This window comes from Homo sapiens, chromosome 5, assembly GCF_000001405.40.
Source record: "Homo sapiens chromosome 5, GRCh38.p14 Primary Assembly".
Classification (NCBI taxonomy): domain Eukaryota; kingdom Metazoa; phylum Chordata; class Mammalia; order Primates; family Hominidae; genus Homo; species Homo sapiens.
Genome location: NC_000005.10, coordinates 128,461,819 through 128,484,312, shown reverse-complemented (window position 1 = coordinate 128,484,312; position 22,494 = coordinate 128,461,819). Strand labels below are relative to the sequence as shown.

General features: G+C 36.1%; 1 protein-coding gene across 2 annotated transcripts in view; it reads left to right on the top strand.

The window, feature by feature from the left end:
- FBN2 (fibrillin 2) overlaps nt 1-22,494 on the top strand; it is a 280,337-nt gene that overhangs the window by 53,933 nt on the left and 203,910 nt on the right. For both annotated transcript variants that reach the window (XM_017009228.3, NM_001999.4), the window contains exon 6: nt 19,392-19,589. In XM_017009228.3, coding sequence (XP_016864717.1) covers nt 19,392-19,589 — 198 coding nt within the window. The remainder of the gene's footprint in view (nt 1-19,391; nt 19,590-22,494) is intronic.

Here is a 22,494-nt window from a genome sequence, read left to right as displayed (position 1 = left end):
CTAATTCCCTTTTTACTAATCTCTTCTATTATGACTTTTGCTCAGAAGCAAATATTTAATTTCTAAGTACGTGAAAATAATATCCTTCATCTAATGCATAAGTAATAACTTAGAAGGACTTGGTTATCAATATTACTGAGAGAGATATGAATGAGAATAAATGTACTCAAGTATGGATAATTTGTGAAAAATAGCTATAATTCTATGAAAATCTGTTAGAAAATGGAAGGGAATTCTGCATTAAATAATTGGTTTTTCTCTCATTTCTGTCTCTTGCCCATTCCATATGTAATTCGCTTTCTGGAAGTATATTAGGCAGCCCAATCCATCATAGACTTCCATCACATATGTGGTGGAAAATGTTACAACACAGCACTGAAGTCAGACACCAGAGTGGGATTGATATGCGGTTAAGTAGTCTCTACTGGCAACCAGATTTGTCTACTCTATAAAGAGGATTATGCTTTTGAAGAGAATTGCTATATACTTTAACATTTTTTCCAGCTATTATCGCTTAAAATGTTTTAAGAACCATTGATTTATATGAAATATGAAAATTCCTTGACATGCCACCCCCCACCCCTGATTGCCAACCAGACAACTCATTTTCAATACTTGAAATACTTTTATGGGTTCAAAGTCATTACATTTTACGTGTCCTGAATATTTCATTAAGGCTTTAACATAGAATTAGTGAAAATTCAGAACTTGAAAATGGGCAGACTTTAAGCTTTCCTGAGTCTGCTGCCCCAAATCTAACAGTTTGCTTTGGGACTGTCAGCCTCTTGCAAGATTTAAAAAAAAAAAACTCAGCCAACCTCAGGTAGTTTTCCAAAAGGCTGTCTGTGATTTTCAGCTGGTATGGTTTCTCTCCGTAACTTGTTGGATGTCACTTCTCATAAAGTGCTTTTTATTCATATCAACCCTAAATCAGTGTGGCCCATCTAATTCCTTGTTCATATATTTTATTGAGCTGTTATTTATTTTTATAATTTCAACTTTTATTTTAGATTCAGGGGGTACATGTGCAGGTTTGTTACCAGGGTATATTGCAAGATGCTGAGGTTTGGGATATGATTGATCCTGTCATCCAGGTACTGAGCGTGGTACCCAATAGTTAGTTTTTCAACCCTTCTTCCCTTCCTCCCTCATCTATTAGTCCCTGGTGTCTATTGTTCCCATCTTTATATCCATGTGTAGCCAATGTTTAGCTCCCACTTGTAAATGAGAACATGTGGTATTTGGCTTTCTGTTTCTTCATTAATTCACTTAGGATAATGGCCTCCAGCTTCCTTTTTATGGCTGTGTAGTATTTCATGATGTATATGTACCATATTTTCTTTATCCAATTCAGCATTGATGGCCACCTAGGTTGATTCCATGTCTGTTATTGTGAGTAGCACTGTCATGACCTTGTTCGTATATTTTAAAAACCTTGTGGCTGGTCTCACATCTTGGTAAGTTAGTATGAATGAGACCAGAACAATTTTTCACATTATAATGATGATAAAAAAATCTTTACTAGAATAAGTAGTTATACCTTTGTAAGGGTTAAGCCTCATTTAAACATATTAACTTAATATTTGCAGGTGACATGGAAAAGATTAAAAAATGGGACTCTAGTGGAGAATATTAATATAGCAATTCTAAATTGATATTAATATATCAATTTTAAAACTCTAATCTAAATGCAGACACACATGCAAAAAATGATAGCTCCCCATAAACTCCACCTCCTACCCACAAGTGAACAAACTGAAAGAATTAAATTCGTATTGCGAATAATGTGTCACCTGTATCAGTTAAGGGTCTTGGTTGCAAAAAAGACAAAACCCAAATCTGCCTCATTGAACTAAAAATAATAAAAGAATGCATTGGGTAGATCATTGAATCTTCAGGCAGTCTGGAGAAACAAGCTTAGAGAATAGGTGAGAGTGAGGGGAAGTTGCCAGCAGTAAACAACAGCTAGCTAGTCCCTGCTTGGCCCTTTACTGCCTTCATCGTCCTCTTGCTGGGCGGGGGAAATTTCCAAATGTGTGTCTTTGCATCAGTTTCTCCCACCAAGACTCAGACAAAGTAAACATCCTCCCAATAGGAAGAAGGCTTGAATGCAGAACAGAACCGGTAATATCCACATTTTCTCTCCATAGCTCATCATATATTTTGACTATGGTTTTTATGAGCTCTATATATCCATTTTTGTTGAGAGTTCAGCTTTAGAAAAGGAAGCAATATTGAAAACAATGTTAGAACAATCCTATGGATCTCAGCTATTTAGACTTCCCAGAAATTGAAGTAGAGCCTTTCTAGTAAGTAACAGTTTAGTTTGCCCCCAAAATGTATAATTACATATGGAACCCACAGTATAAGATTTGCTATTTTCTGTCTCTATATGAAGGCGTGCATTCTGTAATTACCTAAGAATGGGAAGAATCTGCTTACCGAGCAGAAACACGATAGGTACAACTATTCTATATCAAAAATGATAAATGTGAAATGTGTGAGATTTATAGAAACTCAAGTAAAGTGTTTTTTTTCCACTAAAAATTTTCTAGTATTTTTTTGTAAATAATTAGGGACAGAAGATATAAATAGATAATACAAATAATAAGAATCATATTTCTCTAATTTTTGGAGGCTGTTTAAACAGAGACACATACTCAACCTAGCAAACATCTGGTTGGAAATTTAAAATTTTAGTTGAGCATCAGAATGTTTTTCTGTATCTGGAATGTTAGCGGAGTTTGGAAACATGTGGACACTCAACTGGGGTTTCTTTGGATGTTTATCATTAGGCATTCAGAGCCTCTCCCATAAGTTCACATACTGACAAACTTGTACTCTGTGCCATAATCCCTTCCTACCTGGGCCTCCTCTCAGTGGCATGACGCATAGTCTCCTGGCAAAAAGTTAGAGGCTGCAGGTAGATAATCTGAAAAACAGATAATATCACGGCTGATCAGAAATTGATGACAGCACTTTTGTTGCCAGGTCGGAACAGTACTGCTGGAATAAAGGCTAACAGTCATGAATCAAAAGGGGTCTTTTACAGACCACAGAACTGGATAAATGCTATGCTTTTGTATTTGTCCATTGTACTTCCTGGTGAGGTAAAAAGGGATTTTTTTTTTTCCCTGAGTAAAAATTATGTGGGTCTGGTATTTCTCTTTGCTGAATAATTTATTTCTGGCTGCACAGTATTAATTTTCAGGCTGTGAAACCTGGCTTTGATTCCAAACAGATCTTTGGGAAATAGGGAGCTTGAATAATAGAGAAAATAACTCCGTGAGGAAGTATATTACTTCTTGGAAGGATCCTGCTATCCATTTAAGTGGTTTCTTGCAGCTTTCATATCCAAGAAAGTTTTATCCATATGTAATTAGGAGGATCAAAGCCACAGTGAGGTTTATGTAGACTTTTCTGCCTCTCTCATCTTTAGTCTTGCGATATCACTGTCATGACATAATGAAATAACGCATAGGAAAGTGTTTTGGAAAACCAGAGAGTTCTTCAAAATGTTAGTTTATTAATGGCCACAATAATCACAGCTAACCGGTGCTGAGGATTTATTTCTTTATTTATTTATTTGAGAAGGAGTCTCGCTCTGTCGCCCAGGCTGGCGACAATCTTGGCTCACTGCAATGGCGCAATCTTGGCTCACTGCAACCTCTGCCTCCCGGGTTCAAGCCATTCTCCCACCTCAGCCTCCCGAGTAGCTGGAATTACACACACCCGCCCTCATGCCCAGCTAATTTTTGTATTTTTGTAAAAGCCAGTCATTGTGCTCATTACTTGAGAGTTTTATCTCATGATATTCACACATCTACATCATACACTATAAGTAAAGCTCCCCTGTTATATCCATACTACAAATGAGGAAACTGACTTAGCCTATTCAAGACCATAGGCGTGTAGCTGGTGAAGCTAGAATTCTGGCTGTGAATCCAGAGCTGTCTGACTGCAGCCCTGTGCTTTTAGTCAGTATGCTAAGTGCATATGTCTATAATGGCAGAGACACAAAATATGACACCTTACCTGTTGAGATTCCTAGATAGAAGATAAACTGCTTGAAAGTTTTAATACCATGTGGAGTAAACATAGATGCTTCACCTCATTATTATATATATAAAATATATAATATATATATTCTCTCTGTGAATACTATGTATAATATATATGTATATAGAGAGGATATATATATTATATATATGGAGAGAATATATATATTATATATAGAGAATATATATATTATATATACATAGAATATGTGTGTGTGTGTGTGTATATACATATATATATATATATATATATATATATATATATATATATATATATAGAGAGAGAGAGAGAGAGAGAGAGAGAGAGAGAGAGAGAGAGAGAGACAAGGAGACAAGGTCTTGTTCTGTTGCCCAGGCTAGAATGCAGTGGCATGAACATAGCTCACTGCAGCCTTGAACTTCTCGCCTCAAGCAATCCTCTCACTTCAGCTTCCTAAGTAATTGGCATGACAGGCACATTCTACCATGCCCAGTTAATTTTTTAATATTTTGTACAGATGGAGTCTTGCCGTGTTGCCCAGGTTGACTTTGAACTCCTTGCCTGAGGCTATCCTCCTGTTGCAGCATCCCAAAGCACTGGGATTTCAGACATGAGCCACCAGGTCTAGACCATTAGTAGCTTTTAAGAAGAAATTTATGTGAATCTTTATCATGTCTTTTCACCTGGTTCAGCCATTTATTAGATTTGTAGTCTTAGGCAAGTTACCTTATCTCACTGTGCTTGAGTTTCCTCATCTCTAAAGTGGGCATAAGGATAGTACTTATTTCATAGTGTCATGATGATTAAAAAAGTAAAAATATGTAATGTATTTAGAGTAGTGATATAATATTACTATATACGTACATATATGTGTGTATATACATATGTATATGCATACACACGTGTCACTATTTCCTCTACCCTGCATTGCTGATAAAGGCCTACACAGGAATATAAGACCACGTGCTTTTTATCACCACTTATAAGACGTGAGATTTTAGGTTCTATGTGACCTTTGGTATAAAGAAGAACAATGCAAAAAAACAAAGGAACTTTGGGACTGTAATTGCGTACAAATAGTTTCAATACTATTATCCATTTAAGCAATAGTTTGGCAACTGCTAAGAAAGTTTGAGTGTTACGGTCATGTCACAAGATTCTAAAGTTCTCCAAGGTACTTATGGTAGTAGTGATGTCATCTGGAGGAAAGCCAGTTACACAAAATATATTGTTTTATTAAATCTATTTCAGGCAGCCATGTTTGAGGATAATGACAAGGGATCCCATATACTGATAAAGTTAGATAAGTGTTTGCCAAAGTGTGTTGCATCCCACACTTGTCTTCAGGAATGCTATCGAATAAAACTATTTTATGAGCAAATAAATTTTGAAGGCTGCCTACTATAGCCTCCTCTTGGCAGTTAAGAATGCACAAGAGTACATTAAGGGCCCCTGAAAGTCATGTAGTTTCACCCAATTCTGTCTTTTTTCAACTTGTAATATATTTGACCACAGAATCCTGTTTTGGCATAGTTCTCCTAGTGTTCTGTAGAACTGATAGTCCATTGACCACATTTTGGGAAATACTGAGTTAGACCATATTTCTGGATCTAAACTCAGCAGGTGCATTTTGTCCTGAAAAGACCTTGACATATCAGATTCATCAGTTGTAGGCATTTAATTACCATTTTATGTTGTGTGCTACAGGAGAATTAGTCAAGAGCCCTAAGCAGTTATGTCAACTCGTTTTGACTTGGGGCCAGTTGCTGAAACTTTCTGGATTTTATTTCCTCATCTGTTAATCACATAATCAGATCAAACAGTTTCTAAGATGGTTCATGTTTAAAGGTTACCAAAAGAAAAAAATAACAATACATTTCTGAAAATGCTTTTATACATGCCTCATCTAGGGTGAGCTGGATGACTTTTAAAAAGCTGACAGCAAAGCCCAATGCCTACCCAGCACTGCAGATTATATTGGAACTTTTTTGAACAATTAGAGTTTACCTTCCATAGGTAGTGTGTGTCTGGCTTCTTAGACACTTGGCCAGTATTGTCTGAAGTCCAACAGCACCACTGCAACCTCCCTCAGCGTTGCAAAAATACTTACTCATAGTTCATCCACTCAGAGAAGAGAAGCTAAATGCCGATAAGATTTGAAGTGGCTTGGGCTGTAATGCCGTGGAGTACCTACTGAAAGAGAATTTCCATAGCTGAGAAGTACTTGCACACAAGAAGTGAAAAGTCTGAATCGAGGAAAACATTCAGCAATCTCAGATGTCGTGGTTCTATTTAGAGGTTATATCAAAGTGGCCAGTGAAGCATTGAATAAACCAGGCTAATTTATCAACTGAATAAAACGGTTACAGTCTTAAAACAAGGGAAGGGATAAATTAGTACAGAAAAAGGCATTTCATTCAGTGCAAGCACTATTGATCAAACATGGATAAACTCCCCCCAGCCCCCTCGCACCATGATGATCAGTGCCACTGAGAGATGGCAGAGTGAGATGGTTAAGAGCATGGATTTTGGTGTCAGATACACTTGTACTTCAGACTCGGGGTCTGTTGTGCATCATCAGTGTGACTTTGAACAATTTTATTTAACCTGTCTAAGCCTACTGTCATCATTTGTGGAGGAAAGCTATTCATGCTGACCAAATACGGTTATTGTACAGATTAAGTAAAATGATGGCTATAAAGTACTACGCAAACTTCATGGTTGTGTAGTTGTGTTTTATATATATATAACATAATAATAATAAAAGAAGTCATTATAGCAGATTCTTGTCTCTAAAACTTTTATCTTTAAGTGTTTTATGGTGCTAGCCAACTCGTAATTCCAGGATGCCTTTGAATTTTATTGCAGTTTATATCAGAATCTACCCAGTTTCAAACATAACTCCTTAAAGAATCATTACCTCTACACCAAATGCTGTGATATTCCCCATTTCTCTGTGGTACTGGGAGACAACTACTCCAATATGCATTGAAAGAACTTTCTGGGATGATGGAAATGCTCTTTGTGCCGTCCAGGACAGTAGCCACTAAGCACATGTGGCCCTTGAGCACTTGACATGTGGCTAGTGTGACTGGGAAACTGAATGTTTACTTTATGGAATTTAAATTTTAAGTTTAAATTTAGAAAACCACATGTGGCTAGTGGCTACTGTTTTGGATCACACAGCTATACATGATTTAAAAAAACCCACATTGGTGTAAGATTTTAAAACTGCTAAAATTGTCAATTTCATGCCACAGATTCTGCAGTTAAAAAGCTGTTATTGATGCTTTTTGAAAAGAGACCACAGGGTGTTCTTTTCTGGTGGTAAGTCATCAATCACATTAGTTAAAAGCTTTCTATGCATAGACTGTGGAAAGTTTCCCACTTTCACACTGTGGAAGACAAAATCTTCTGTAGAAACCTCACGGAGCTATTGAATCTCATTGTAATAATGGTGTGCTGTGACTAAGGACTTGATCCCCTGCGAAGCTGAAGGTTCCATGAAAACAGAAGTAGAATATACATTCTCTGTTTATATGGTACAAAGCTGTAAACCTGTCTATTAAGACACGCTTTTTGATTATGTTCTTATTTATTTTTTTTTTGTCTACTTGCTCTGTCAAATTTGACTTGTATTTCTAAAAGTTTTTGCTCTTTTTATTTCACTATATTTTTTAGTTAGATAAATCTTATATCCTCTTAATGGATTTTAGTTTTAATCCTTATAATACTCTTTTTTTGACTCAGTTTAATACTTTTGGAATTACCTTTTGGAATTCCATTCTGATATTGATTATTACTACTTCTACTTTCTTTTGTATTTTCTTTGGTTTTTCTTTGCCGTTCTGTTTATTTTCTACTCATTTTATTTTGATGGTTTTAATATAGACAGGATAGGGCTGAGTTTTGTTATTTTAGTCAGATCTATTGATGACTTCATTGTTTGATTAAAATCTAAGCTTATTCATATTTATTGTGATTTCAGTATATTTTATTCCCATCATTTTAAGTATATAAAGCATTATATTTTGTGGTTTTCCTTTTGTCATTTTTATTATCATTTTGGTTTAATCAATTATACTTCAGTTATCTATTTTCACCACCTTTCTTTAATTAAGAAATTCTGTGTCCTTCATTGAACTAATGGTCACCTTTTTATCTTTCACCATTATTTTGAAACACCTGTACCTCTGTCACAACTTTTGCGTAATGTCTAAATTGTACAAAATGTCACCCCAAGACATTTTACTTATTCACTCATCCTGGTCCCAAATTGAGATTGTAGGAATAATTTACTAGCGAGTCTTCATATGGCAGATACTTTTGCTATCTCTCAGTTCCTGTTGTTATCATTTCAGGCTATTATTAAGTTTTATCTTATCACATGGCTCTTTTGTTTCAAGAATCCTTTCTCAGAAGTGTAGCCTGTGAATGCTATTTCACTGTACTTTAACTCTCAGGAAACACAGGAGAAAACGAATGCTAGCCTATTTAATCTCCTTTGTAGGTAGACTGTTCTTTCTGGAAATGGAAGGATTTTTCTCTTTTTCTTTTATTTTCAGAGTTCAGAAATTCAGAGATCTCATGAAGCTTTTTCGTTGAGTATATCTTTTTTATTATCATTATTTCTGTCTAGGATGCCATGAGCCATTCTAACCTGAAAGTGTGAAGTTATTTTTCATTTAAACTTAGGATATTTTTTCCAATTACATCTTTATTACTTCTGTACTTGTTTTTTAAATCTTAGTTTGGAATTCATATTACTTACATTCCAGTTTCTAGGCTCTATGTTGTGACCTGTTTATTCTCACTGACTTCCAGACAACTAATTTAGCTTGAAGCAGTGACCATCCCTTTTTTTGCACTTCTGTTGAGTCTAAATATTGAAAGGATTCACTCTCCTGAACTAAAGAGAGACTTTAGTCTTTTAATTTTTGTCTGTGACATGAATTTTCTCACTACCAATACTAGTAAGTTATATGGGTTTCCCTGACAATAACACATTTTCAGGCTGTATAAAATAAGGTCATTTTTATTTTGCAAAGCAGGTAACACAGTACTAGGACCCTTCTGTTGAGATGAGACCGGGGGATGTCTTTGCTCTTGCGCCTCTCCTGGTGCTAATGTATAAAAGACAGGCATGGTATAAGGTTCTAATTCCAGGAGCCAGGAATGGTTCACCTCCTTACAGACCACTACCACCACCACCACTGGGCCATCAGTGCCAGCAGGGTCACTTGATTATCACTGTTCTTCATGCAGCAAATAACTGGGAAAGAGCTTCCCCTGTGCATTTCAAATGGATTTATTGATAGATGCTACCTGTGTCCTCTTAGAATGTCCTACGGTCTAATGGTTTTCTAACTTTTCAGCATTTCCCTAGAATTCTCAAGTAACGACAACCCCAGTAATGAATCACATGGCATTTGCTGGCTTGGAGAATCTCAGCACAGTTGCTTAGATGTTGTATTGGAAGTTACATGCCAGGACAGAATCATAGAGAGAGGTTTTTGTTTTCCCATTACACATTAGTTTCCTCGGAAAGGTGTTATTTACTAAGTTTGATTGACTCAGTAGCATGTATTTGGCTGCTTACATCACTCAGGAGGCATTGATTTGGGCAGAAATTTTAGTAGGAAAATACTACATGGAATCCATGGGCTCTGTCAGCAAAGTGTGTGTAACATTTTCATGGCAGCCACCATAATCCAGTCTTGTGACCATATTATTTTTGGACCAAAGATGCATTAGATCTGTTCAAGCACCTTGTTTCTATTGGTTCTATTTCTGACTTTATTGATAATGGATAAATGTTTTCTGAGTACGTGTCACTTTTCCCTGAAATATATTCAGGCCTACTTAACGATAGTACAGATTTTCCTAAGATACTATAAAATGTGGTACTTTTAAATTTGACTTGCTTATGATCCATCTTTTGTGTTAATCATTTATATCTCTGGCCCCCTTATTAACTCATGTCAAAATATTTTCATCTCTTTAACTTTCTTCTTCAAAAGTGACGATATCCTTCTGCTTAACTAATCTTACTAGTTTTTAATCTTCAGCAATTTTTGTTGTCCTTAAAGTAAGTTAATTGGTTTTGCTCTTGGGAGAGTGCACTTTTAGGGTTATAGGCTGTGAATTTGAGGACCACATCTTTGATGGCCTTCACCCGTATGAAACGTGACATCAAAGATAGCAATTTTGTTTGCATCACTGGCCAGCACCTAATTATCGTTACGGCCTCTTCATTCTTAAAATGCCCTTTGATGTCAGCAGTAGCCTTGTGCTTTGAAAGACTGCAGAGAAAGGTGAAAGCAGTCCTTTGGCCAAGCCCACATTCCACTGAAATATTACATGATGGTATTAGGTTGAAATAAAATGCAAGGCAACTGTGGTAATTAAAGTAATTACTCATTTATTTGCAGAAACGAAAGTCTTTAATGTTTCTCTCAATGCACAGAGATAATTTCTCCCTGGTGTAACACGGCTAGATGGAGACTCATCTTTGGGAGAAACCAGAAGAAAAGCAAACCTGGGCATGGTAATTGGGAGTTAGGAAATTATACATAGGAGGCAGGAGGAGGCATCTGTGGGGTTGTGACAGTACTCATTAGCACGGTGAAGGCAAAGTTACCAAAAGCTGAGAATGTAGAAAACCCATGTGTTGGGGTGAAGGAACATAGTGTAGGGGTAAAAGCACACAAGCACTTGGAGTGAAATGGATCTCAAAGGTGAATCTCACTTTCACTTGTCTTTAGCTCTGTGATTCACCATGTATTACTTAATCTGTGACTTTTAATTTATTTGTAAAAATGGCAAAAATATTTTTAGTACTTAAGATAAAAAGATATATTAAAAGGGCCACTACAAAGTAATATGTACCACATTGTTAATTTTTCTAGTTTTCAAGAATGGGGACAATGAGTTGCTGTCAAAATTCAACAAGAAGATATTGTTTTTACCCATTAAATGAATAAAAAATAAACTCTTTGCCTCTACTCTGCATTGGAGAGAGTGTGAGGGTACAGACTTCCTTGGGCACTACTGATGACAGTGTAAATTGGTGCCACCTATTTAGAGAGCAGTTCTGCAGTATTTTTCAAGCTGGACACTTGACCCAGCAGTTCCAGTGCCAGGAATTAGATTACAGAAAAACTTGCCAAAGTATAGTCAGTAAGTATGTTGAAGAGTGCCTATGTAGCACTGTGTGCACTTGAAATCAGTTGAAAACAATATAAATATCCATCACGAGGGGCGTGGTCAATGTCGCACGTGAATATTTCCATGCCCTCCATGGTGACTCTGCATCCAAAAAATACTCAGTTTATTTTTGTGTTAAATATTCAGGCTTGCTTTATTTAAATATGATTTCAAAAGTCTACTTACTCCCGGAGCTTTTTAAATATTTATTTTTAAGATTGTCGTAAAACACACATTGCATAAAATTTGCTGTGTTAATCATTTTTTTTTTTTTTCTGAGACGGAGTTTTGCTCTTGTTGCCCAGGCTGGAGTGCAATGGCGCGATCTCAGCTCACTGCAACCTCCCCCTCCCGGGTTCTAGCGATTCTCCTGCCTCAGCCTCCCGAGTAGCTGGGATTATGGGCATGTGCCACCATGCCTAGCTAATTTCGTATTTTTAGTAGAGATGGGGTTTCTCCATGTTGGTCAGGCTGGTCTCAAACTCCCAACCTCAGGTGATCTGCCTGCCTCGACCTCCCAAAGTGCTGAGATTACAAGTGTGAGCCACTGTGCCCAGCCTGTCGTAATCATTTTTAAGTTCAGGGGCTTGAAGTACATTCACATTCTTGTGCACCCATTGCCCTCATCCATCCACAGAAGTCTTTTTATCTTGTAAAACAGAAATCTCCTTACCCCTCAAACAAACAGTAAGCCTTCATTTTCCTCCCACCCCAAACCCCTGCCAACCACCATTCTACTTTCTGTCTTTATGAATTTGACTACTCTGGATACCTTGTGTAAGTGAAATCATGCAGTATTTCCCCTTTTGTGACTGGCTTATTTCACTCAGCACAATATGCACAAAGTTCATCCATGTTGCAACATGTGTCAGAATTTTCTTCCTTTCTAAGGCTGAATAATAGTTTTTGGTATGTATATACCGTATTTTGTTATCTATTCATCTGTCAGTGGACGCTTAAGTTGATTCCATCTTTTGTTATTGCAAATAGTGCTGCTGTGAACATGGGTAGATAAATATCTCTTCAAGTGCCTATAGTCTTAACAGATTTTAGTAGTCGCTTTAAGAGATTTTAAATAATATTTGTTTCTATTTTCATACCTAGTTTATGAAATAACTCCATGCCTTTTGAACTGTTTTGTTTATTAAATACATCAGATATCTTTTTAAAGTGCTTTCTTAGGTACTTCAGTCGTGCACCTTAAAAAGTACTCAACTCCTAAAAGCTAATAAATTAAAAACTACATGTATAAATACTCAAACTTATAATTTTATAAGACCTGAAGCTTAAATGATCCAATTCTATATATAAGCCTAATGACAATCATCATAACTCTAAATAAGTTACTCAATAATTTATTTAAAATTGTGGTTAAAAGGCAGTCTCTCATGCATTAAAAAGAGTTTTTTTTGTTTTTGTTTTTGTTTTTAAGGCCAGTTTCATGGAATAGGCCAAATGTTTTCAGGCATTACAGGTACATAATATTTGCACAGATCTCTTAAAATAAAAATATTAATTTAATGGCTTTGATTCTCTTAAACATTTTTGTACTTAATTCTAAAATTTCTGAGATTGAAAGATGCTTAACCTCAAGGAAGGCAATTATATCAGTTATTTGAGTTTATTTGATCTAAAGATTTAGACCCAGCATGAAGTCTGGAGCTGCAGACATCCAAGGCAAATCTTACTGAAATGAAGGAAATGTTTTTATTATCCCATATAATTTTGGGTACTGCCTTCTTTGCTTGCTGTGTTTATATCTGTGATTAGAGATTTTAGATTCTCAATTATAACCTCATCATTGAAATACATGGAACCTCATTTATAATAAGGACAGAATTGTTGGTCAAAAACTCCATTACTCGAAGGAATTAGTCACCTAGCCAGGATCCTTAGATTAAGTTACACATATTGCAGAATTCTTTATTTTACATGTTTATGTCTGTAACTCCCATACAAGATGATCACTTTATTAGTTACTGAGAACATAAATACCTTCTTGCCTAAGTTGAAAGACCATGCAAGTTGATAGGAAATCCTACATTTTTAAATGTACTTTCCAAGATCAGGTAATTCTTTTCTGTACCAAAGTGATAATGATACCTTATGGCGTTATCTGACTTGCAGTTACAGCATAGAAGGTCTCTAACATTGTCATTCCATTGCACAACTCCAGGGAATGACATTTACATTAAAGTATGTGGGAAGCTTCTAAGTTATGCAGGGCACAATCTATGCAGTTGTACACTGTAACTGCATTCCACTGACAGTCACATAAATGATATTATAGCCACATGGGCAGCTGATGTATTGTTGTCCCTCTGGCTGTTTCCCTTCTCAAGTAGGGCCTCATGGGGACATCTAGTCCATTGATCTCACTGCTTTCTTTCATTTCTTAATCTAGCAGTCCTTTTCTTACTTCCCGTCTTGTCCAGCATAGATTCCATGGTCTGTAATTTCAAAATATGCTAACATTCTACCCTGAGCTTCCTTGCCATTCTGTTTTTTTCCCCCACATCTGACAGACAAAAGCAAAACCCTGGATGAACCCTAATCTCTGAATGAGCTCAGCTGCCTAGAGTTGCTGGAAAAAGTCACAATAAAAACCTTCTTTCTTAACCCCAAACCCCCTACCAGACTCTTTTGTCTTTACCTTGAGGAAACTTCTCCAAAGGTTGTCTGGTTGTACTCATTGTCTTATTTTCTCATCTCCAGCCAGTTCCTTAACTCTCTCCAACGTGGCTGCAACTTCCATCACTTCACCAGAAGATCTCTTGCTAAGATCACCAATCACCTGCAGATGCATGGAACCAGCCTCCTGCAATTTGGCTGCTCAGCAGCATTCAGTACTGTTGAGCCTCCTTTCTACAGCATGTGCTTCCTATGTCCTGTGGGAGTACAATCTCCTGTTGCTCTCCCATCTCTCTGGCTATCCATTTCCTGTTTCCTCAGCAGACTCATTCCCTTCCAGCCCACTATCAAGTGCTGAAATTCCTCAGGACTGTATCCTAGACTCGTTTCTCTTTTAACTATATTCTCTCACTCCAAGGAATTTTATCCACACCCATTGCTTTGAAAACTACCCAACTCACATGACTCATTAGTGTGCATCTTCAATCCATATATTCTAAATTCTGTAACACACTGGACGTCTCCTGTTGGGTATCTAAAGGCACCTCAGTGTAACATGTTGAAAAATGAACCTAAAATCCTGATTGTCTTCTATTACCAGTATATCAGGAAATGACACCATCAGCCATCCTCATAAGTGAACTAAAATCCTGATCCTACTTTTGGTATCTCTTGCTTACTCATCTTCCACATTAACACATTCACCCGTTCATTTTTTGAATTCAGGAACTTTTATTCCAAGCTCTGTTCACCTGTACAATTTCTGGTTCCACTGTATCTTGTGTCTTGATCATGAGATTTCTAAAAGATTTCCTAGCATCTACTCTTAACACTTTAGAATACAAATATAAGCTTGTCATTCCATGCCAGAAAGAAGTCTCTCCACTGACTTTTTTTTTTTTTTTTTGAGACGGAGTCTTGCTGTCTTGCCCAGGCTGGAGCGCAGTGGTGCGATCTTGGCTCACTGCAAGCTCCGCCTCCTGGGTTCACACCATTCTCCTGCCTCAGCCTCCCAAGTAGCTGGGACAACAGGCACCCACCACCACACCCAGCTAATTTTTTTGTATTTTTAATAGAGACAGGGTTTCACCTGTTAGCCAGGATGGTCTTGATCTCCTCTCCAGCCTCATCCTTCACCAATCTCCTCTCTTACATGAGCCACACACTACCCTAGGTGCACCTTGCTTCCACCCCTTCATAGGGCCTTTGGACTTTATGCCCCGTTGGCCTTTTCTGTTTCCCCCAACAAACTGTAAATTAACTCTAAAAGGTCAAAGACATTGGTGCTCTCTTCTCTCACTTTCTTCTGTATGTCTCCTTCCTCCTCTCTTTCTTATTCACTTTTTTCCCCTCACTGTTACATCTCCAGAGCCCAGAACAATATCTAGTATATACTAGTCACTCAGTAAACTCAGTTGTAGACTTAATTTCCAAGTTATACAATTAAGAGAACACTCCAGGTTCAGAACACTGTATATAAATAATTCAAAAAGGTAAGTGTAAGAGATGATTAATTGTGTTTTTATTTAGAAAAAAGTATCACAAATCTCAACATGTTATGAAAAGGGCATTTTATTTTTTCCGTATGGTTTGGATTTTAGCAAGTGTATTATATTTTATTTTAAGAATGTTTAATTTTCTCAACTTGTATTTTCTATAAACAATAATGCTCAACTTTGGTTTTCTAGCATGATTTATCATCTCTAATTGTGTAAAAAGGACTTGTGAAATTACAGCAAAATTCCCAAGCAAATGTGTTTATTTAATGTAAAATGTGAACCCAGGTTATAATAAAAATTGTAGAAAACAGCAAATATTAACAAAGATGTGGAAGAACTAGAACCCTCATACATTGCTGAGGAGAATATAAAATGGTGAACCTATTCTGGAAAATAATTTGGCAGTTTCGTAGAAAGTTAAATGTATATTTGTCAAATAACAGTTTCTTAGAAAGTTAAATGTATATTTGTCAAATAAGTAGTTCCACTCTTAAATAACTACCAAGAGAAATGAAAACATATATCCACACAAAGACTTTCATGCAGATGTTCATTGCAGCATTATTTATAATATCCCAAAAGTAAAAACAACCCAGATGGCCACAGACTGGTTAACAGATGTAGTACAGCCATACAATGGAAATTTATTCAGCAATTAGAAGAAATGAAGTATTGATCCATGCTACTGTATGGTCTTGATGAACATTATGCTAGGTGAAAGAAGCAAGACAAAAAAAGACCACGTGTTATATGATTTCACTTATATTAATTGTCCAGAGAAATCAAATTTATAGTCACAGAAACTAGATTAGTGGTTGACTGAGGCTGGGACAGGGAATGGACACAAGTTCTTTTTGGGTGATGAAAATGTTCTAAAACTGGATTGTGGTGATGGTTGCATAATTCAATAAATTTACTAAAAACCATTGAATTTTACACTTAAAACAGGCGAATTATGGTACGTAAATTACACCTTCCTATAGTTATTTGAAACAACAAAACAATTAGCAGCCAAAGTTTTTGATGAGCTTGCTAACTGCACTAATTTTTTAATGTGAATAAAAATGGAAATTGCATAAGCAAATTAACACGCCATGTTGCACTTAGATATTAGAAAATCAAACTAGCAATATTTGTGTTTCACAGCCTAATTTTTAACAAAATTTTCTTGGTCATGTCATAACGTGTAACATAACTGTTTATAGGTCATTAGTTCCAACATACTAAGTGATAAGCAATTTTCCCCTTTTACACTTAGTTAACACACTGCAAGTATCCTTGTGACTATGAATGGTTAGCATGGTATACATCAGTATTTTTCCCACAGTGCAACTTTTAGGAAGAGAATGCATGGCCAATCACAATTAATTAAGGTATTTTAAGGACTCTTTTGTCCATAATTAAACTGCAGGTAGAGTCTGGGACAGGATGTTTTAACCCTATCAGGAAATTTAAATTCTTTTACAATATCTAGTATTTGTTCTTATTTTACATGGTAGTAATTCTTGAATTAGTAGATAAGATTGTAAGTTTAAATTTTAAAGTATTTAGTTACCAACCAGAAAGCAAATTGTCATCATATACAAACATAGGTTCAGCATATTTTGTAAGGAGTAAAATGTAAGCAAAACAAATAAGAAATGGTCAACTCTATTCCTGCCAAGTGGAAGGTTGCCTTAATTAGTGACTTCAACAAGAAAGGTCATTTGCAGAGGACAAACAGCTGTCCTTGTCCAGATATTCCCCTTCTCCACAGAGACGGTACTAAGAGGACATAAGTTTAAGGTGTAGTTAGAAGAAGGAATGAATCTACTGTCAAGTTGGTTTATTTATGAATTTGGTTATGAGGGAGACTGTGCAGATTTCATTCTGGGAATCCTAAAAGTGCATAGAATGTGAACATGGGTATTCACACATTGACCTAAAAACAATATGTGTTTTTATATTTTTTTTGCAAAAAAACAGACTTTTCCCCACGTATTCAGAACTTGATATAACTTATAATTAGGAATTTAATGTTTATTTAAAATGACAAAATATTTATATCTGAAGGACAATAGGATAGATTTTAAAAGTTTGCAACCTGACAATTTGCAGTATAGGAAGTGTGTTTGTTTATAAGGTTGCCATATCTTCACGTATACTCCAAAGATCTTTTTCAAAAACGAGACTTGCAGCCAGCACATCTGTTGTTCTTATGCAAGGGATTAAAATGAGCTATTTTTGTTGAAGTTCAGCTGCAGAGTAACAATGTTAAAATGGCTTGCCAAGAAATTACCTATTCTCGATTTTGTTTCTTAATATTGAACTTCTAAACTGTTCTTTGCTTCTGTCGGAGACAGCCTCATTCTTCTTTAAAGCAAATCGAAGTTTTATGTGGTTTTAAGGTTTTTGTTGTTGTACTGCAGCACGTATATGATATCTAAGGCTTCCTAGCTTAGCATTTTGAATGTTAAATTATATCCAAGTTTGATTTTCCTAGAAACAGTTTTTCATAAAAATTATACCAACATTATTGACTCTTCCTCCTTTAAATGTTAGGTAGTTTTGTTCTCATAAAACTATGAATTAAATCTGTGTAGCTTTCCCCTTGGAGTAGAATAATATCATTTATGTTAGACCTTATCAAGAAACCTGAGTGGTATTTTGTATTCCCAAGAATTAATAAACTGTATTGACATAATCCCTGTGTGTAAGGAAAAACACACAACTTTTTCATGTATTTCTGTTGTATTTTATAGCAAATGAGAATAATTGAATTGGTGAATCCTCAGAAAACTGACCTTTCTCTGATTTCTTGTATCTCTCAAAACAGCAACAACAACAAAGCTGAAATTAAAATTTATTTAGTTCATGATTCAGTTCTGTTTCACCGATCATCGAAAAGTTTCACTGAAAGTAAATCACAGAAGAAAGCAGGATAGAGCAGAAATACCCAGGGCTAACTTTCCAACTGCCTGCAGTCTATATCAGCCCTTCTGAAACTCCAAGGTGCATATTAATGCCCGGTCTTGTTAAAAAATGCAGAACCTGGGTTAGTGGGTCAGGGTAGGGCTTGAGTCTGCATTTCTACCCGGCCCCAAAGTGATGCTGTTGCTGCTGGTCCATAGAAACCTTGAGAGGCGGGGATCTAAATGGACTGTACTTAATATTCATAGAAGAATTTGCCTATGTATCACACATGCCATACATTTACTAAGGCTTTTGTTATCACCATAACAGAGCTGGACAATGTACAGTCACTTGCTAGAGAGGAGCGATCATATAATACTAACTTACGTGTAAGGAATTCATGACTATGTGCCTTATTAATGAGATCTTCCTAACTAGGCTACCCATAGAACTAAACTGACTGACACAGAAACAGAAATCAGATTCTTAGAACTGAATATTTACAGGCAGTTTAGATTGCCCAAATATATGTGTGATATGGAAGGAGCATATCTTTATTGATTTGTTTTAATTTTCTAAACTCTTGTTCACCTAGTCAGAAAAGAAAATCTCTGCTAAGTAAAGAGGAGTCATTAATGCTGATGCCTTCAGGGCCCAGGAAGGAAACATCAGTGAATGTACTGAGCTCGGATTTAGTGGTGTCCTGGAGAAAACACACTTCATCCCACCAGTGCTGTGTGACATGGCAGGTCTAGCATGACCAGAACTTCCAATTTTTCAAGAGAAGCCAGAAATACAAATTTCATGTGGAATTTCCCAAGTTTACAATGTTGGCTACTAATTTAAATTCTGTAAAAGCATTATTCAGGCCAAGAAGGCACATCTGTATCCCAGACACAGCCCTGAGCCACCCATTTACAGTGTCTAGTGTGGAATACATTGAAGTCTCTTAAGGTACTTCTCATGAATGGAAAATTATGAATTTTTAACATGAAACTCTCTAGCCTTCTGTCTTTGGACACTTTGGTCAGAAGAAATAGTCTCTGTTTTATGCATTTGGAGGCACTGGTATAAGATTAGTATATGATCATAAAACCTGTCTTTCTTTCTTCTCCCACATTCCAGATTACAGGACAGGCCCGTGTTTCACTCAGGTCAACAACCAGATGTGCCAAGGGCAGCTGACAGGCATTGTCTGCACGAAGACTCTGTGCTGTGCCACCATTGGACGGGCGTGGGGCCATCCCTGTGAGATGTGTCCAGCCCAGCCTCAGCCCTGCCGACGGGGTTTCATCCCCAACATCCGCACTGGAGCTTGCCAAGGTGAGTCAGCTGTCTGCCTGTGCACACCATCGCAGACCTGCCACTTCTCTTTTTGTTGGAGTTGGAGAATCTGGCACTGGATGGTAGCTTTTAACAGAATACTGATTTCCAAGAGTGGCCTCGTTAACAACCCTGACCAGAGAAGGTTTATCTTTTAGCCACCTAATGAATAATTGTTTCAACTGTTGACATTAATGGAGAAGAGAAAGAGATGAAGAATTGGGGGAAATGTAAAAATACAGTGTAAAATATTTAATACAATCAAAGGATGAACCACTCTATTTTTATCTAGATGGCATGACTCCTCCCTTAACTATACTCATGCAAATACCCAGGAAAAACCTATTTTTTCTCTTTATCTCATTCAAGTTATGAGAATCTGAACCCAAGTAACAAGGAGAAGAAAGCCACCTAATATTGGCCCTCTATCATTATTAATAGTGTCTTCAAAGACAAAATGTGAACTCTGTCTATGATTGCAGTTATTACAGACTTTGTAACCTGGGTTGGTCATGATCTCTGGGTTTTGACACTCCCTAACTGCATTCATGACACTGATTTCTATATTAGGGCCAGATCAGGGCCCTGAGGATGCTACCTTAGTAGACTGCAATCCAAGTAGCCAAAAATTGTTACCTATTTACTGATTAATTATTTTAATTAATTTTCAGCTGCCGCAATTCTTACCTTTTTCTAGCAACTTCTCTGATATCAAATGTCTTAAATCCATTTTTAGAGCTCGGAAATGGTCTCTCTAATGACTTCTTAAATGGCAGTTGCCTTCATATTGCATAGCAGTAAGATCACAGGAAAACAGAAATGATTTTTGTATTATTCACATAAATAATATTATTCATATTTGAGACTTTGAGAGTTAGGGTTATTTTCTATAATTAAAACATGCACAAAGTTAGATCCAAAGTCTTTCAAATTGATGTTAGTAAGCTGTGTCACAAGTGAAGATGTTATCTATTGGGCCTGTGTAAATCTTACATTGTAGCAAGCCTGGTCAGTGTCCTAAATCTCAAATGAGAATTACAGTTTGGGGAGCACATACGTAACTTTAGTTCATTGAATAATAAAATGTGAGTGTTCTGCATAATTTTGTAAATGTGTCCCTGACAGCAGCATCCACAGATTTTTGTTAGTGTTGTAGTTTTATAAAAGGTATATTTTTAAAATGGTCTATTTCTAAAATCATTTTGAATCCGAACTACGGAGATACCAAGGGGATGACTATATAACTAAAACATTTACCGACTTTATATTTAATCACATATGAAAGCTCACATATGTGAGCTGTGGACTTAGAATAGTTCTTTTTAGTGATGAACACAGCTCAGGCCTTAATGATGAAGACTGAGTCAAATGCCATTTTTAATCTATTGTTTACTATGGATAGTAAAATTCTGTATGTTTTGGTATGAATATTAGTCTGAATATATAGAGTTCCTGGTAGTGCAACAGTTTCTTCTATAGGAAGATATTCTATATTATATTGTATCTGTCTTTACTGTGCTCCATATGGTCTTTACTACATCTTAGTATACAGATTACCATGTAATTTATATAGTGGATATAGATTATTATTAAAAATAAAATACTCTACTATATTGATTTACTAGTTTAATAATGACTGGATTTACTATAGTACTACTTTTTGTTTATTCGGTACCCTTTATTACCTTCTAACATACTAACTTCATTTCTTTGTTGTTTTTAATTCTCTTTTGACTAGAATGTAAGCTCTATGACTGCAGAAATCTTTTTCACTTATTCACTGATGTCTCAGACATCTAGAACAGTGCCTAATATACAGTAGAAGCTCAGCAAATACCTTTTGAATTAATAAATGACATTAAGATTGAAATACTTCCAAAACCCACTATTTCAGAGAAAGAAACAGTTCAGGTTAAGAAAAGCCTTTAACTTCAACCAAAACATTCCAAATTATTGACTTTTCTCATGTTCTGTATTTATACTTATGCTTTTTTACTTTCATACTTTGTCAGAGGCCTAGTTTTTTTCCCAAACACAATTATAAAAAATGTGTCATCTGATCTCAAACTTTCTGAATGTCCTTTAGGGTTTAGTAATGTCTGAAGGATTACTTATTTGATTTGGTTTATGCATCAAAGATAAGTTTCAGGCTCCATTTGCCTAAAAATCTGAGGGATTAACACAGTAACAGGAACAAAATGAAATTTGCCACATGATTAAAATGTCTGGAAAAGCACGTTGAAAAGTTCTGCTTTATTTCAAAATCATGGCATAGTCAGAAAGTTCTCAATTAAATACTAATCCGTAGTTCAGGCTATTTTAAGACATCTTACTGTGATTTCATTTTTTTCCTTTAAATTCCTAGACTGTTTCCTGAATACTTATGCCAAATTAGTTTGGAAGAGATGGGGCATGAAAAAATAATACATTAAAACATGGTGCATATATGTCATTAAAAAAACAGTGATCTTTTTTATACGATGATTGAGAAGTGTTACAGAGTTAAAAATAAATTTCAACTATGTGGATGATAACTGTAAATAGCTTAACACTAGCTCTAAATCATGGTTCTTTTGAAGTTTGGAAGATAATGATATCCTGTAGCTGATGAAATTAGTTGTGAATGAAACATGCCCTTGTAGTAAACAGAGTAGCTGTGGAAAATGAGGGACAACAGGAAATTAAGATAATACTTAAAGAATTAAGCTGTGAGAAAATCAGTAACTTTATTTTATTTATTTATTTTGCTTTATTTCTTATTAAAAAAACGAATACATGTGCAGAATATGTAGGTTTGTTACAGGAGTATATGTGTACCATGGTGGTTTGCCGCACCTATTGACCTGTCCTCTAAGTTCCCTCCCCCGACCCCCCAACAGGCCCTGGTGTGTGTTATTCCCCTATC